At 38.6% G+C, this 17,739-nt stretch overlaps 1 protein-coding gene across 46 annotated transcripts in view; it reads left to right on the top strand.

Moving 5' to 3' along the window:
- The window catches only part of DLG2 (discs large MAGUK scaffold protein 2), a 2,173,362-nt gene that overhangs the window by 1,305,534 nt on the left and 850,089 nt on the right, over nt 1-17,739 (top strand). For 8 of the 46 annotated variants that reach the window (NM_001377971.1, NM_001377970.1, XM_017017273.3 and 5 more), the window contains exon 1: nt 5,503-6,015. The exons of the other annotated variants lie outside the window; for them this stretch is intronic. In NM_001377971.1, coding sequence (NP_001364900.1) covers nt 5,695-6,015 — 321 coding nt within the window. In that variant the 5' untranslated portion in view covers nt 5,503-5,694. Of the gene's footprint in view, nt 1-5,502; nt 6,016-17,739 lie in introns of those variants that run through there. 46 annotated transcript variants of the gene reach the window in all.

Genomic DNA, 17,739 nt, shown 5'->3' with positions numbered 1-17,739 from the left:
GACAGGTAGATCACTTGAGATCAGGAGTTCGAGACCAGCCTGGCCAACATGGTGAAACCCTGTCTCTGCTACAAATACACAAATTAGCTGGGTGTAGTGGTGCATGCCTGTAATTCCAGCTACTCGGGATGCTGAGGCAAGAGAATTGCCAGAACCTGGGATGTGGAGGTTGCAGTGAGCTGAGATTTTGCCACTGTACTCCAGCCTGGGCAACAGAATAAGACTGTCTCAAAAAAAAAAAAATTCTTGTGAAATTATTATGACTTTTGGCTTATATTATTTTAAAATTAATATGACTTTGGAGTTTAGGATTCTCTTCATGTTTTACCACTAACTGGCTTTTGACTTAGGGAACTGCTCCCTCTTTTGTACTATCTAGCTATAAAGGGAGAACTCTTGAAAAAGCTTGAGAGAAATGCACAGCTGCCAGGAAGTGCAGCTTTTATGAATTAATATCTTGCTAAAATAAACAGAAGCTGCTTCAGCTTCAGTGCTAAGACCACTAGGAAATTTCTTTGAAAAATGAGTTCATACACTTATGCCACTAATCCATACTAAATGTTCCACTAAAGTGCTGACTGTAGGAACACATTGCCATTTTGTTTTTAAAATCAAAATGCTTATTTATTGATTTTACACTGAGAAGTAGAACACAGACCAGAATACCTATATTGATGTGATCATTGAAAGATACTTTTGTCTTCTTCCATGTTTGATTTATTTCAATTAGGGTTAAACACTTTGTGCTGAGTTCAAAGGATGCAGTTGCAAATAAGAGAGCTCTTTCATTGCCCTACTAGCAACCACTTACTTTCTGTTTGGGGAAAAGGGTACAAACTAAGTTATAGTGTAATTCTTGTTTTAAATACAATTTTGTTAAGTGTTGTAATAGAGAAGCACAGGTGCTAAATGAGTGTTTAATGGAAAGATGACATGAGCTATCTTAGAAGGTGACCCGGTATTCAGGGAATGCTTTCTTGAGGAGGTGATGATATGCAAGTTGAACTCCAAAGGACAGGGAAGACACCAGAATTTCTGAGTAAAAGAGATCTGGATGGCAATCTGGTTGGAAGTAAAGACTAGAAGCTTTATTTTGGAGCTGTGTTGCATAGTAATCCCACTTCTTTTTAGATTATACTGTATGTTTATTTACGGTGGCTTTGGGGGAGTTGCCTCTTGATGCAGCCTACAGAAGGGTGAGTAGGAATTAATTATGTGAAAGTATGAAGTGGGGAAAAGAACATCCTCCATGGCCACAAGGTAGGATTGAGCTCAAGTATTCAAGGCCTGTATGGTTGGAGGACAGAGCAAGAGTGTGAGGCACAGACAAGACTGGTAAAAAGCCACAGAGGCCAGATCACATGGGTCATGATTAAAGACCATCCAAACTACTTTAAAGATTATAGTATCAATGAGGATAAAGAGTCCCAGAAAATGACGTTTAACTGACAGGTATCAAGCATAAAGGACCTGATCATAATTGCATTTTAGGAATTACTCTGGGTGCTGTGTGAGAGAGAATTAGAGCAAGGGTGTATGCGAGAGACCAGTTAGAAAGCTGTTTCACCAGTTCTACACAGAAATGATGCTGGGTTAGACATCACAGTGGTCATCATGGTGATTGAAAGAAATAGATAAATGTTAAAGATATTTACACAGACAAGTATACAAATACTGTAGAGCATGACTTAATTTGCCAAGGGGATCTGAAAAGCTTACAGAAGTGACATTAGTTTAATCTTGAAGGATGAGAACAAATTTCTGGTAGAAGTATAGTTTAGCACTTAGATTCAATTGCAAAAATATGCAAATTTTAAGTGATTATTACCTTTTTACTAGTGTTTCTTTCAGAATCTTTAAGAAATATTACATAATTAATGTTCTGATTTCTGTATTTGTGATACTAAGTACCTTAGAATATAATACATTTACATTTCCTGAATACAATTTTATAATTTAGACTTGTAATTAATTCAGATTAACCCCTTCCCCATCAACACTCACCCAAATCCAACTATGCTAGTTACAATTCGGGACATTTTAAAAGTTTTTTCTACCTTCTATTAAATCCTCTGTTTTGGTTAAATCTTTGCATCAATTAAGCATGTTTTCTTCCACACTAAATTCCTGCTTGTTTTTGTCTCACAAAAGTTATGACTAAATTAGTTTAAATATTTTGGAAATAATTTTAGAGCCTAAAATACTTTACGTATTCCTGGCTTTCTTATTTTGAAGGAAATGTGCTTGGATCTGGAGATTATCTAGGCCAAAGGTTATTAGATGTAAAAGAATGCGGATTTCTTAGCATTTATAAATCTCTAGTTTTTGCAATCATAGGAATAGACTGTACACACTTTTCAAAGCATTTTATGATTATTTGGCGTATTACTTGTGGCTGATAAGGATGTCTGTCACCAGTCACTCTTTAGCAATCACTTAGCTCTCCTTTTATTATTAATATTTTCATTTCCCATATGCATAATTTTATCTGGAAAAAGATTCTGTATCAAGTTTTAGTGCAGTACAATATATTTATCCATTTTTGCTATTTTTTATTAAATCAAGCTAGGATATTAGTCTTAAACGCTTGCTTTGAAACTAGTGATTGTTCTATGAAGCCAGTGCCAGGTCAAAGAGAGTTCAATAAGTTATATCTCATCTAGGCATTGCTCTGTGCACCATCTGCCCATGTTAAATCACAGTGATAAGTAGGATGTGTACTTGTGCATCGCTAATTCTTGTTTGGCCAGAATTTCATGTCATCTCATGGTCATTACAATTGTCCAATTATAGTTGATCAAATTGGATTACCATTAATTAGTGAGTCTGTCTTATAGTACAGAGGGCTAGTTGAACATATTTATCTGTTTAAGTGGGCTGTCCTCAGAAAGCCAAATGTCATGTTTGAAAAGAAAAGTCTTGTTTGTGGGGAGGGAAAGATAGGAGTATGGAATTACTTTACATGTACTAAACTGAAGGAGTGATTTCAATATAGTCTTTTAGTAAGCTTAATAAAAGTTTGCTTTAGCCTTAAAGATCTTTTAAGCAAAATAACATTAGTTATACAATGGATGCTATTTAACTATAAAGAAATGACATGCTAAGTTATTAAAATAGAAATTCTGTGGCCCTTGTGATGGGAAGAAATTGCGCATTCTGAACAACCCATTCATAACAGATTTAAGTCTCTGTGAAGATTTGTAATATCTTGAGTAGTGTCAAGCCAGAAAATTGTTTCTGCCTTGCTGCAAGCTGCACACACCATTACAAAGTTGTGATGGATGCACACTGACTTATGTCTATGTAGATTGATTCTTATACTTGAGAGGCAAATGGATGAGAACCGGACATGTGTTCCCTGAAGATGCCAATGGGCCCTTGTGCAATGATATCTGCCTAAAAAACTAGAGAAGCATCTATGGTTAGATAAGATTGGAGACAGCCAAACTTATCACTTTCCGACATTCTCATTTGAGAGTGATGGCATTGGCATATTGCATCAAATCCTACTGTACAGCCATGCATCATGGTTATACCAGAAAAGCCTAAAGTTCTCTAGGGTTTTCTTCGACCCAACAGTTCTTTCAGGTATAATCTATTGATCTAAAATAAAAAGGGGGGAGGGAGGGAAAGAGAGAGAGAGAGAAATAATTTTCTCCCTTTTCGTCACTGTCTTCAGGTATTGATTTTAACTTCTTGATCTTCTTTAAGAAGGCAAAAACTATTAATGCCTTTGTTATTTCTGCCCAACAGTTCAAGTTTCATATATTTTTGACAAATTTCCTTAACAAGAATACCTCAACACCAGAACTAAATTTAACTTTAAAGGAATAGTTTATGTTTCTAGAACATTGCTGAATTAAATATTATTATTTTAAAAATGTGTATCAACTCCTTCATTTCTCTATTTTTTCCTTCCATTTATACTTCCACCCAACCATCCATTCATCCGTCAAACATATGTATGTATTTACTGCCTGTTTTGTGGTGGACGGTGTGAAAGGTGCTTAGAGAAAAATGGCCATTAACATAGACCAGAACCTGCCCTCTAAACTTACATATCTGGCCATTATTATTGAACAAACGTGTTTTGAATACCTTCTGTGATGGGCACAATGCTAATATCAGCCCCTTGTGCAGAATTTGGAAAAGTACCCTTATATGGAGATACATGGACAAAGAAGATCCTACTCCTTACTTTCAAGATTTTTAAGTCTAACAGTGATTTATCCAGGGAGTCTTAGTGTTCAAATGTAGAACTTGCTATGATCTCAGCCCTTGCAATAAGCACCTTGCCAGCTCAGGCAAAAATCAGGCCTATACTGCCCCAGCACCTGGTCAATCCACTGAGAAGGTAGATTTGATGGCATCTGATGGTCTACAGATAAAGTAATTATTTCATAGGATTATATAATCTTTGTTAGGTACTGCATGGATGGTAACTGGCTGCACACTTAAACCAAAATTATTTCCTTAGTAATGTGTGATAAGGATAGACATTTTGGAAATGGATGTGGAAAGTTTCAAACAGAATAAAAATTATTAATGTTATGGCAATTAGCCTTTCACTTCACTGAAAATACTATGTATGGATTCAGCAAGCATGCTAAAATTTAACACAAAAATCCTCTTTGGAAGGCAATTGCTTTAAGTTAGAAAAAATTAGCTCATTTTTCAGTGAAAGAATTTGAAAATTCTGTCTTTGGAAACCAAAATACTGTATGGCAGAGTTGGATGCATCTTTCACTTTAAAACGCAGACTCTATTTGTGGTGAATGTATTTGTTATGGTAAAGTATTTGAAAGGAAACCCTCAGAATAATTTGGGGTAAGGAAAAATACTGTTTTAAAATAAGCCCAACCCATCAGTTTTAAACCTTGAAAACTGCCTTGCTTTGAATAAGAAAGAATTAATAATCGTGTATAGCATAAAGAATATATGTTTGGACTAAAATGCATAATCGTGATTTAAAACAAACTTCCAAATTTTAAGAGACTCTAGTATAATGGTGTGACCTCAATGATTTTTCCAAATGAATTTATGTTCTTCAGAGTTAATATTGATGATCTTATATAGTTACTTCATGACTGGGTCTGTGTCTTGGCAAATCTCTCTCTAGATAAGTGATTCTTATAAATGTTGAAAATTCCTTTACAGGTTAACTTTCCCATCATTTTTTATTGCTTATGCTATAAAGTTTAAGCCTAGATGCATCCTTTCTGGAAAGAAGGGTCCTACTAATCTCATAAGAATCTCATAATAAGTTCTCTTTCTTAAGGTTTGTATTTTGTGTGGGGATCGGCAAGGAAAGGGAAAAGCCGGAATGCCAAACAGCAAAGAGTTATTCTTTACTGTAGGGCTCCATCCAAAAAGGGTTTGTAACACAGTGTACAGTCTTGTAGCCCAGCTGTGTGGAGCATTGATTGCTTCTGCCTAGAGCAGGGATACTGTCAAGTTGCTCTGTGAGTTGAGTCATCTATTGACAAAGAGCTACCAGCCCGCAGATAATGCTGTGCGGAGCTGCTGTCGCTGCTCCCACTGCTCCCACGATGCACTGCTTATAGCAGCTGTCAAAGATACTGAGGAATCCACGGTGGAAAAAAGACTTTTACAACTGGCTGGAAGAAAGGGGTGTGAGGGAGGAGACATTTCTGTGCAGAGCTGACCAAAGGAAAGAGTAGGCATCAGTGCAGTATGAATGCATACCTCACCAAGCAACACAGCTGCAGCCGGGGGTCCGATGGGATGGATGCCGTCAGGAGTGCGCCCACCCTGATCAGGGATGCCCACTGTGCTTGTGGCTGGCAGAGGAACTGTCAGGGGCTCGGGTACAGTTCTCAGACCATGCCCTCCTCAGGACCAGGGGGCCCAGCTTCAAACAGGACCGGGGGGTCCAGCTTCAACAGGACCTTGTGGGACAGTGTGCGGAAAAGCCCCCACAAGACGAGCACCAAGGGCAAAGGGACTTGTGGGGAGCATTGTACCTGCCCACATGGTTGGTTCAGCCCAGCACAGGTGAGCCTTTTCCTTATGACTTTCCCTTGAGTGTCTGAAGAAAGTGAGAGCAAGTTGTTTAAGGTTAGAATGGCTTGGAAACTTTGCAGAGTACCACGGGTATGCCTGTATGTAAAATATTAGGCCAAGAAAAACCTGTCATTTTCACACATGTTTGTGGGCTCATACCTCTGGTGGCCTGTGAAAGTCTAGGGATGCCGTGCTCAGTTTATTTCACTGACTTTTCTTCAACTTCTCTAGTCCTCAGGTTATATTATTTTTTATCATAGTCTTTTAGCAGCCCTTTTACTTCTAATCATTTTTAACTTTTGTTCTGTCCTGCCTGTTTATTATTATTTTTTTAAAGAGCAGAGAAAAAATAAATTTTAACTAAACTTTCCATCTCTTTAAAGGCAAAAGAACATTTGTTTCTTTAGCTATAGAAAACAGTGATTTGAAGTATGCTATTCTAATTTTACTCTTATAATACTGTATGCCTTTTCAGTTATGGAGAAGAACAATTATTTACACTAAATAATTAATTTTACAAAGAAAAGGAATAATTATGAGCAAAACAGAGGATGGTTAAACTCAGAATAAAAGAATTAAGCACTTAATTTATTCATGGAGAAGCAATAAGTTTATATCAACATCTATAGCTCTCTTTCTTCTATAACGCATTTCTAAAGCAGATGTGCAGATACCTTTAATTTGATTCCTAGGTTATTCTAGCCCCCAGACTACTATCATTTTATCAGAAATAAAATTGGCTCATTTTTTTCTCTCTTCATTTAAAGGAGAGAAAATAACTTCCTGCAAATGCTGTAAAATATAAATAAAATACACCTGTAGTCACTGTCATACAGAACAATGACTGTTTAATATGTATTGAAGAAAAGCTGTATTTGCAGAAAAATTCAATCTCAATTTTAATATGATTTTAGCATAGTGGAGAAGTAGATATTGATCATAAATAAAATGTTATGGTGACAGGTGCAGAGAATATTTTAATTTTAATAATAGTTTTTAAAAAGTACTTCCAAGAATGTCATTTATCACTGGTCTTAATAATATAGTTACATATGCATAGCCATATATATGGCCTTTGATTGATTTGCATGGAATTATAAGCTTTGCTTAGAGAGATAGAGCATCTCAGCCTCCTGATTTAAATAAAAAATACATTACCATTTTATTATTAAACTGGTTTGGCTTAAAATAGAAGTTGACATTTAGAAATGCAGTTATTATTTAAAGTTAACATGAATTCCAAACTGAATAAAAAGTCTTAACAGTTGTGAACACTGTATATACTCTTTAACAAATACATTCATTTAAATGTCTTTAGCTTATATCTCTGTATTGATTACATTAAATTCTCAAGGCTCACATAGGCTAGGAAGCAAGCCTACTTAATAGCATCTAGCTTATGGTTGTTGCACAGAGCAGAGAAAGCAAACTTGCTTTATTGTTGCAATTATTTTAATCCAAGATGTAACATACTTTTTATTTCGTAAATGGTAATTTCCCAAACCCAAATCTCTAATACTAGGTTATAATAAGCAAACTCTAAAAATATTCATATTTTTTCATCAACTGAGGGAAACTTTTATTTCCTTAGTTTTTAACAATGCCTCCTACTTGTCTGAAACTTACAGCCATTTAATGCTTTCAAGGATTGAAATAGACCGTATACTGATAATTAGAGATCCAGTGACATATAAGAAGGCAACAAATTGAGGTAGCCACCATCTCTCCTTATTCTTTTGCATAAGCATTTCTATACATTTTCCCTCCCATTCACATGTACTGTATTATTGGCTGGGACTAATAGTGATCCACAAATACTGGAGCTATGAAACCATATCTTTTAGGATTTTCAATGTTTTAACACTTTTCACTTACCAGAACCTTCCACCCTTTACCATTTCAGTCCTATAAAAGTGCTATGCTAAATTGATTAATCCATCTTCACCAATGCTTGAAAACTTTCAAATACATTATGTTAAATAATTTCAATTGTCTCTACACATACATACACACAGACTTTAATATATGTATTCAAATGTCTCACTATACCTAACTACTTATGTATATTAACATATTTTATGTATATTTAAGTATATATATGCATATATATGCACACATATAAAAATTAGAGTTCTATATTATTTCAATTTTTCTGTCCTAGAGTATATCAGCTTGTTCTTCCAAAGAATGCTGCATTCTATCCATATAAAGTATTTTTTCATGTAAATTTTATTTCCTTTACTTCTAGTAGGTCCTCAAAACTACTGATATATGTATATTTATAGATCTGTTTCCATTTATATATGCATCCATAGCATACATCTAATATCTAAATTATATAGAGATGTGTTAGTACTATACACTTACGTATATTATCACAAAAATAAGAGCATGTGTGTACCTATATGTATTCATGTGTCCACTAAAACTAAGGCTGTTTTGAGAATTTCATGATACTACTTTTTACCCCTTAAATTAACTGGGAATATCCTGTGAAATATTGTAAAACCTAAAGCTGGAGGCTAATGATACTAAACATTAGAATCCTTGATAAAGCGTAAAGAAGAATAGTGCATGTTTTAAAATAGTTCAGGGACTCACATGTGGTACAGAATGTGCCAGAGAGTTGTTAAGCATCTGGGAGCTTGGATCTTGCCCTCGGAGATATTTGCAGTATTACGTGGAACTCAGCAGTGTGATTTCCAGCTGCTATAACAGAGGGCCATAGTAATGACTTGAGTTCCTCCTAAGGCTCTTTTCCAAACTCCTGTTATTTGGGGTACTGTGTACTAACAGGACTCTGTCATTATGTTGTTCCTCAGCAGGTCTGAAAATCAGCTTCTGTCCCTCTCAAATAAGTTTTCATTCCATTTGGATCTGTAGAATTAATATAACCATAATCATAGGTAAGGAAATAGAAAATTATAGTGCCCAAAAGTGCGTTCCAAAATGTACATCTAGGATGTTAGTGTCAGCCTTGGGAAGAAACATGTCCATCATTGTTTATGTGGCATTTCTTCCCAGTGCAGACTAATCTAGGGAAGCAGCACAGAACAGTGGAGACTCAGAGACCAGAGTTTTGTGCATTTGTCTTTCTTTCTTCCTTTCCTTTCGTATCCTCTTTCTTTTTCTTTCTTTCTTTCTTTCTTTCTTTCTTTCTTTCTTTCTTTCTTTTTCTCTCTTTCCTTTCTTTTTCTTTTTCCTTCTTTCCTTCCCTCCTTCCTTCCTTCCTTTCTCTCTCTCTCTCTCTCCTCCCTCCCTCCCTCCCTTCCTTCCTTCCTTTCTTCCTCTCTCTCTCTGTCTCTCTCTCTCTTTCTTTCTTTCTTTCTTTGACTATCATGTACTGAATGCCTACTATGTACTATTCTGTCAGGCCTTGTGTGTATAATATTATAGTAAACAGGCTGAGTGTGGTGACTCACGCCTGTAATCCCAGCACTTGGGAGGCAGAGGCAGGTGGATCACTAGAGGCCAGAAGTTCAAGACCAGCCTGGCCAACATAGTGAAACCCTGTCCCTACTAAAAATACAAAAATTAGCCCGGCGTAGTGGTGCACACCATAGTCCCAGCTACTCAGGAGGCTGAGGCACGAGAATTGCTTGAACTTAGGAAGTGGAGGTTGCAGTGAGTCAAAGTGGTGACACTGCACTCCAGTCTGAGCTACAGAGTGAGACTTGGTCTCAAAAAAGAAAAAAAAGAAAAAAATTGGCCAGGTGCAGTGACTCACGCCTGTAATCCCAGCACTTTGGGAGCTGAGGCGGGTGGATCAGGAGGTCAAGAGATTGAGACCATCTTGGCCAACATGGTGAAGCCCCGTCTCTACTAAAAATACAAAAAAATTGGCCGGGCGTGGTGGCGGGCACCTGTAGTCCCAGCTACTGGGGAGGCTGAGGCAGGAGAATCTCTTGAACCCAGGAGGTGGAGGTTACAGTGAGCCGAGATTGCACCATTGCACTTCAGCCTGGTGACAGAGCAAGACTCCATCTTGAAAATAATACTACTACTAATAATAATAAAAAATAAAAAATAAAATTGTAAAGAAAGTAGATATCTCTCCTACTACTGTGGAGCTTACAGCCTATAATGGCCTATAAAATTTAGCAAATGATATGCCATGTATACCATGATATACAAATAATTATATCATCGTAAGTCACAACTTAGAAGCGAAGCAAAATTTCAGAGAGTGCTGCAGATAACCACAATGAATGCATATTCAGAATACAGAGGAACCACAGAGAAGTTAAAAAATTGAAATACTTGGAAAAAAATACTGCATCTCTTTAAACTTTTAAGATTTTCTGGGTTTTTTGTTTTGTTTTGTTCGTTTGTTTGTGTGTTTTGAGATGCAGTCTCGCACTGGTCCTGGAATGCCATGGTGCCACCTCATTTCACTTCAACCTCTGCCGTCCACGTTCAAGCAATTCTCCTGCCTCGGTCTCCTGAGTAGTTGGGACTACAGGCACGCGCCACCAGGCCTGGCTACTTTCTTTTTTTGTGTGTATTTTTATTAGAGATGGGGTTTCACCATATTGGCCAGTCTGGTCTCAAACTCCTGACCTGTGATCTGCCCGCCTCAGCCTCCCAAAGTGTTGGGATTACAAGTGTGAGCCACTGCGCCCAGCCAAGATTTTCTGTTTTATAAAATGAGGATATAAATAACACCTACCTCAGAGAGTTGTGGTGATGAATGATTAACAAAATGTTAGCATAGTGCTTTCATATGGTAGATGCTCAATTAATATTTAAGGAATAAATGAATGAGTAAACATTGGCTATTACTAATCTATTTCTTAATACATTTTTTGATTGGGAAGAGAAGAGAAATGAATCAGTGAGGGCTTCATAGAGGTAGTGATACTTTGACGGAATTAAATTGAATTAAAAATGTTGTACGTGTTTGTTAAGCAGATAAAAAGAGAGAAATTTTTGAGCAGAAATGAAAAATACAGAAAAGCATGTAACACCTTGGTGCCTGTGCACACAGTTCTATTTGCCCGGAACATTGAGCCCTGTGAGAGAAGGTTCATTAAAAGAGATGCCTGGAGAGGAGGGTGGGGCCTGGTCAGAGATAGCCGGGTGGACCTTGATGAGGACTTCATAAAGTTTGAGTGCCTGCTCTGCCACTCTTTATGTGTTATGCTTCATCATCAGTTAACCCTTTGAGCCTCAGTTTCTCTGTTTGTAAGACAGCTGGTTTTCTAGATGAACACCCAAATCTCATCCAGTACTAATAGTATGTGACTGTGTCAACTGACACTTATTAATTATTGGGAAGCACTTTGGAAATGTTTTATGCTTAAAAGCCAGACAATCTCAAATTTGAATTTACTAGCTCTGTGTGATGTTATTTGCTTAACCTCTCTAAGCCTCATTTTTCTCCTCTGTAAAACTTGGGATAATAAATTCATGTTGCAGGGAAATGTTATAAGAATTGAAAATACGGTATATAAAAACCCCAGTATGGCACTTAGAACACAATTACTCAGTAAATGGTATTTATTATTGTTAATGATATCTAAAGTATGTTTTTTATCCTGAAGAACTTACTGTCCAGGAAATTCATCATTCATATTGTGCTCTTTCATTAGAATTTATGGATTTTCCACTGAATTTTTTGATGTCTTCCTTATAATGATGAAGGCTAGGCTAGGCAACTGTCCAGAAACTTTTGGCATAGTACCACATGATGCTGATACTGAGGTGACATTATGTCCTTCAAGGTTCTCAGCAATTTACAACTGTGCATGCTAGAAAAAAAAATCATGTAAAATAGAATTGTGTTGATGAAGTAGCATTCCCATAAGCTTGTATTTAGAGGTAAGGAAATGCTGAAAGATTTCCTCAGCAAAATTCTGCAAGAACAACTGTGTTCGAAATATTTAGCCAAGCTCTGTAAATCTCCCCTCATAGTTCCTTTGCAGCAACTCCAGAACCAGCAGTTTGCAGCAACTTGAGTGCGGAGGACTTTTTAGTCCAAGAAGTAGGGTTGCCCTAGGATGAAATCTTAGGCTCAGTTTATGCTCAGCCAGAATGATCTGACAGCTTGTTTTAACTCAGCACCTGCTTTGACTTACTCCTCTTAGAAAGGCAGCCCCTTACCAAGGAAGAATAAGACTTTCTTGTCTCTGGGAAATAGCAGCTGTCCCCCAGGTAAGGGAAACAGAAGAGAGCAAGTGATAACACAGAAGGAATTAAAATTGTAAGTATTCCTGTGGCAGATGTGAAGCCGTTTGGTCAACACTCCTAGCACTCTTATTGCTGGATGCTGACATAAGCAGAGCATTCTCTCTGGGATAGGGCAAGGAGAGGCCAAGCACACAGAATGGGAAAGAAAAGAACAAAAATGACAATATTTATTGCATAATCACCATGTTCACAATGTGTGAGACACTGTGCTAGGAAATGACATTAGTCATTTCCTTCAATTTTCCCAATAACACTAACAGAGTGATGTTGTTATCTCCATTTTGAAGATGTAAATGGAACCTAAGAGTAATGCTTATGATCACACCACTGATAAGGGTAGCATGCATTTCACATGCAGGTGTGTATGACTTCCTTATTCTCTCCACCGCGTCTTGCAAAAATAAGACCTTTTGAAGTATGCTGGGAGGTAAAATACCCTAAGGAGACCTCTATAAATCTCTAATTTAACAGAAATTTCCTTAATGCATTGGGATGTTCTACATGGTTGGGAGTACTGGCATTCCCCTGCAGAATCCTGGATTCCCTTAGCCTACTTTATTTTCTGGTCTCAGGAACCCTGAGTGAGTTGGGTCTCTGAAGATCGCTTCCCTCCTTTATTATGGTTAAGAACTATGTAGATCTGAAGCAGCTGGAGTTGATTCCCACAGCACTTAACACCAGAATAAGATACTTGCTGTGTAACTTGTAAATTGAATTCAAGTTTGCAACATTTGTGGTATTTGGGAACCACCTATTGTAAATTTAATATAAATACAAAATAAAAGTGCAGAGAGACACTGTCTTTAGTACAAGAGCATCATCTCACATTGCTGAGTGTGAATCTCATACAAACGTTCTATCTCCCTATGTATCCATCATGCCAAGAATCAAATCTCTGTTTGATACCACCTTCTTCATGGTCTATCCTCTTTTTCTGATATTATTTGATCTCTTACAAGTGTAGCCTCACCTGGTTTTATTCTCATTCATTCTCTACTTTGTTCCATTCTTTTGGTTTTCTAAAGGAATCTAGATGTTTTGTAATTATATCAGAACTGTATGGAATCTTAGTAGTCACCTAGTACATGTTCCAAAGGAGAAACTGTACCCTAGAAAAGTTAAGAGAATTGCTCAGGGTCATTTCAGTTTGTGGCAGAATTGGTCCATGTCCTTAAACTCGGAATTAAGTTTTCCTTTTATTGTTATAAGTTGCCCTCCCTCTCCTAGCCCTTCTGTGCTCATATGTAGAGTCATTATTGTCAGATAATTATGAGGCATGCAATTTATTGATAATTAACTGTTGGACATTATACAAAAAGTTACATAAACCTGTTTTTTTACTCAGAATTTAGACCAGTGATTCCCAAGGACAGACGGAGAGAGGAGAGCCCCTAGAAATTATTTTTTAATGTTTTTCTTCCAACTTTGATTTTAGGCTCGGGGGGTGCATGTGCAGGTTTGTTACATGAGTAAATTGTATGTTCCTGGGGTTTGGTGTACAAATTACTTCATTAACCTGGTAGTAATGAGAGGTGACAGCGTGCTGGCAGTCCTCGCAGCCCTTGCTTGCTCTCGGTGCCTCCTCTGCCTGGGCACCCACTTTGGCGGCACTTGAGGAGCCCTTCAGCCCGCCGCTGCACTGTGGGAGCCGCTTTCTGGGCTGGCCAAGGCCGGAGCCGGCTCCCTCAGCTTGCAGAGAGGTGTGGAGGGAGAGGCGCGGGCGGGAACTGGGGCTGCGCGCCATGCTTGTGGGCCAGCGTGAGTTCCGGGTGAGCGTGGGCTCTGCAGGCCCAGCACTCGGAGTGGCCAGCTGGCCCTGCCGGCCCGGGCAATGACGGGCTTAGCACCCGGGCCAGTGGCTGCGGAGGGTGTACTGGGTCCCCCAGCAGTGCCGGCCCACCGGCGCTGCGCTCGATTTCTCACGGGCCTTAGCTGCCTCCCCGCGGGGCAGGGCTCGGGACCATGCCTGAGCCTCCCCCACTCCGTGAGCTCCTGTGCGGCCGGAGCCTCCCCTACCAGCGCCGCCCCCTGCTCCACGGCACCCAGTCCCATTGACCGCCCAAGGGCTGAGGAGTGCGGGCGCACGGCGGGGGACTGGCAGGCAGCTCCACCTGTGGCCCCCGTGCGGGATCCACTGGGTGAAGCCAGCTGGGCTCCTGACTCTGGTGGGGACTTGGAGAACCTTTATGTCTAGCTAAGGGATTGTAAATACACCAATGGGCACTATGTATCTAGCTCAAGCTTTGTAAACACCAGTCAGCACCCTGTGTCTAGCTCAGGGATTGTGAATGCACCAATCGACACTCTGTATCTAGCTACTCTGGTGGGGACTTGGAGAACCTTTGTGTCCACACTCTGTATCTAGCTAATCTAGTGGGGACCTGGAGAACCTTTGTGTCTAGCTCAGGGATTGTAAACGCACCAATCAGCCCCCTGTCAAAACAGACCACTCGGCTCTCTGTAAAATGAACCAATCAGCAGGATGTGGGTGGGGCCAGATAAGAGAATAAAAGCAGGCTGCTCCCAGAGCCAGCAGTGGCAACCTGCTGGGGTCTACTTCTGCGTTGTGGGGGCTTTGTTCTTTCGCTCTTTGCAATAAATCTTGCTGCTGCTCACTCTTTGGGTCCACACTGCCTTTGTGAGCTGTAACACTCACCGCAGAAGTCTGCAACTTCACTCCTGAAGCCAGGAAGACTACGAATCCACCGGGAGGAACGAACAACTCCAGACGCGCCGCCTTAAGAGCTGTAACACTCACCGCGAAGGTCCGCAGCTTCACTCCTGAGTCAGCGAGACCACGAACCCCACCAGAAGGAAGAAACTCCAGACACCTCCGAACATCAGAAGGAACAAACTCCAGACACGCCGCCTTTAAGAACTGTAACACTCACCGCGAGGGTCCGCGGCTTCTTTTTTTTTTTTTTTTTTTTTGAGACTGCGTCTCGCTCTTTCACCCAGGCCGGACTGCAGTGGCGCGATCTCGGCTCACTGCAAGGTCTGCTTCCCGGGTTCACGCCATTCTCCTGCCTCAGGGCCCTGAGTAGCTGGGACTACAGGCGCCCTTCACTGCGCCCGGCTAATTTTTTGTAGTTTTAGTAGAGACAGGGTTTCACCGTGTTAGCCAGGATGGTCTGGATCTCCTGACTTCGTGATCCACCCGCCTTGGCCTGCGGCTTCATTCTTGAAGTCAGTGAGACCAAGAACACACCAGTTCTGGACACAGTAATATAATATTCAATAGGTGGTTTTTCAGTCCTCACCTTCTTCTCACCATCCACCCTCAAGTAAGTCCTGGTGTCTATTGTTCCCCTTTGTGTTCATGAGTACTCAATATTTAGCTCCCATTTATAAGTGACGACGTGCGATATTTCATTTTCTGTTCCTGTGTTAATTTGCTTAGGATAATGACCTCCAGCTGCATCTATGTTGCTGCAAAGGACATAATTTCATTCTGTTTTATGGCTGCATAGTGTTCCATGTTATCAATGTACACATTTTCTTTATCCATTCTACCGTTGGTGGACACCTAGGTTGATTCCATGTCTTTGCTATTGTGAAAAGTGCTGCAAAGAACATACACGTGCATGTGTGTTTATAGTAGAATAATTTATAATTTATATTCCTTCGGGTATATACTCAGTAATGGGTTTGTTGGGTTGAATGGTAGTTCTTTTTTAAGTTCTTTGAGAAATTTCCAATCTGTTTTCCAAAGTGGCTGAACTAATTTGCACTCTCACTGAAGTGTATAAACATTCCTTTTTCTCAACAAGCTCGCCAACATCTGTTATTTTTTGACTTTTCAATAGCCATTCTGACTGGTGAGAAAGCACTTCAGAAGAGCAGAGAGGTACTTAAGTGTTGTTAAAGATTGGAAGTGATACTGGGATTTAGGGGAAGAGGGTCAGGGATGCTAGACACCCTGTGCAGAGTGGTCTTGCCCCACAAATAATTGCCCCATGTACTGCACAATTTTTAGCGTTCCACTAGACAGTCATGAATATTAACGAAAAAAGTTTATTATTATCTAAGCCTAAAATCAAACTCAATTTTACAAACAAGTATTTTTGCAAGGATTCAATGATTATTACATTTTCTGGGACTATAACTCCGCGAAAATCAAGGGACCATTACACTTTGTTCTGTTAGCAATTTTGTCAGTTGTTCCCCATTTTGGAAGACCATATCCTTAAAACATAATGCTGATTTTAGTATTGACACACCTCTCCTGCATCAATCTATGTGTATAGATTTCATCTGCAAATATGCAAGTAAAGAGATTTGAGACTCCTGTTAATAGATTTGGAACCAAATATTTTAATTTTTTGGTTCAAGTTTTATTTTATTTTTAATTGACAAATAATAATTTATATATTTATGGGGCCCTATGTGATGTTTCAATGCATGTATACATTGTGAAATAATTAAATCAGAGTAATTAACATGTCAGTCATCTCCAACATCTATTATTTCTTTGTGGTCATGTGAAAAAAACGTGTGAAATCTATTATTTTAACTACTTTAAAATATACAAAACATTATCATTAACCTTAGTCCCTAGTGAACAGAAAAGGAGTGATGTTGGTCACAAGATCTAGAATCAAATATTTTAACTTGATAGAAACATAAAATACAGGGATCTCACCAAATTTCATTAATAAAGTTGTTTTTAAAATATTTTATTTGATTGCCATACCATACATTAATCTTTAAAGCACTTTAAAGCATAATAAGAAATCTATTTGTGCAAATTACTTGACATCATCAAGTCAGATAATAAAACTCTGTTTTAGAGTTTTCTGTTTTTTCAATATTATTCTGATATTGTGTCAAATCTCAAACTCAACTTGTATCAAAACTCCACTTCCCCATAAGCCCTTAGGTTTCAGAGTTTATATCTATCATTCCTCATTACCTATCAAAGGATAGAATTTTAGAGTGCTAGAAATCAAATATATGCCTTCTCATGAGAAGGAATTCCAAACAGGAATAGGTAGGTAGGTAGGTAGATAAATAGATAGATAGACAGATAACTAGCTAGATGACTCTCTTACTGGCATGCCCTATTTTGACATTAAACATATCAGTAAGACCCAGTTTATCTGCAAGAATGACACATTTTTAACTTACTCCTACCATCTGCAATTTTCCTTGTTAAATTATCTGTATTTCAGCTACTAAAGTTATTTCCTCTGACGTTTTATCAAATACAAATGGTCTGCTATTACTTTTTCTAACACTAATTTTTAACCTAGAATTTATTGTATATCTGCTGTTTTATTTTCCTGTACCCTTTGTAAAATATGGTATCTGGTCTTTTTATTCCATTTAAATCCAAATTTATTCTTTATAAATATATGCAGGCATTTCACTATCTCATTACATTGTCTGGCATAGTAGGACTCACAGACTGCCATATTTTCATTTTTGTAGCATCATTATTAAATTATGTTTTTGTGCCAAGACTTATCTGCATTATGGCTGTGGAGAACAGGAACTATGTGTTCAATGCCTATATGTCTTGCAGGA

This window comes from Homo sapiens, chromosome 11, assembly GCF_000001405.40.
Source record: "Homo sapiens chromosome 11, GRCh38.p14 Primary Assembly".
NCBI lineage: Eukaryota > Metazoa > Chordata > Mammalia > Primates > Hominidae > Homo > Homo sapiens.
This window is presented reverse-complemented; position numbering and strand designations above follow the sequence as displayed.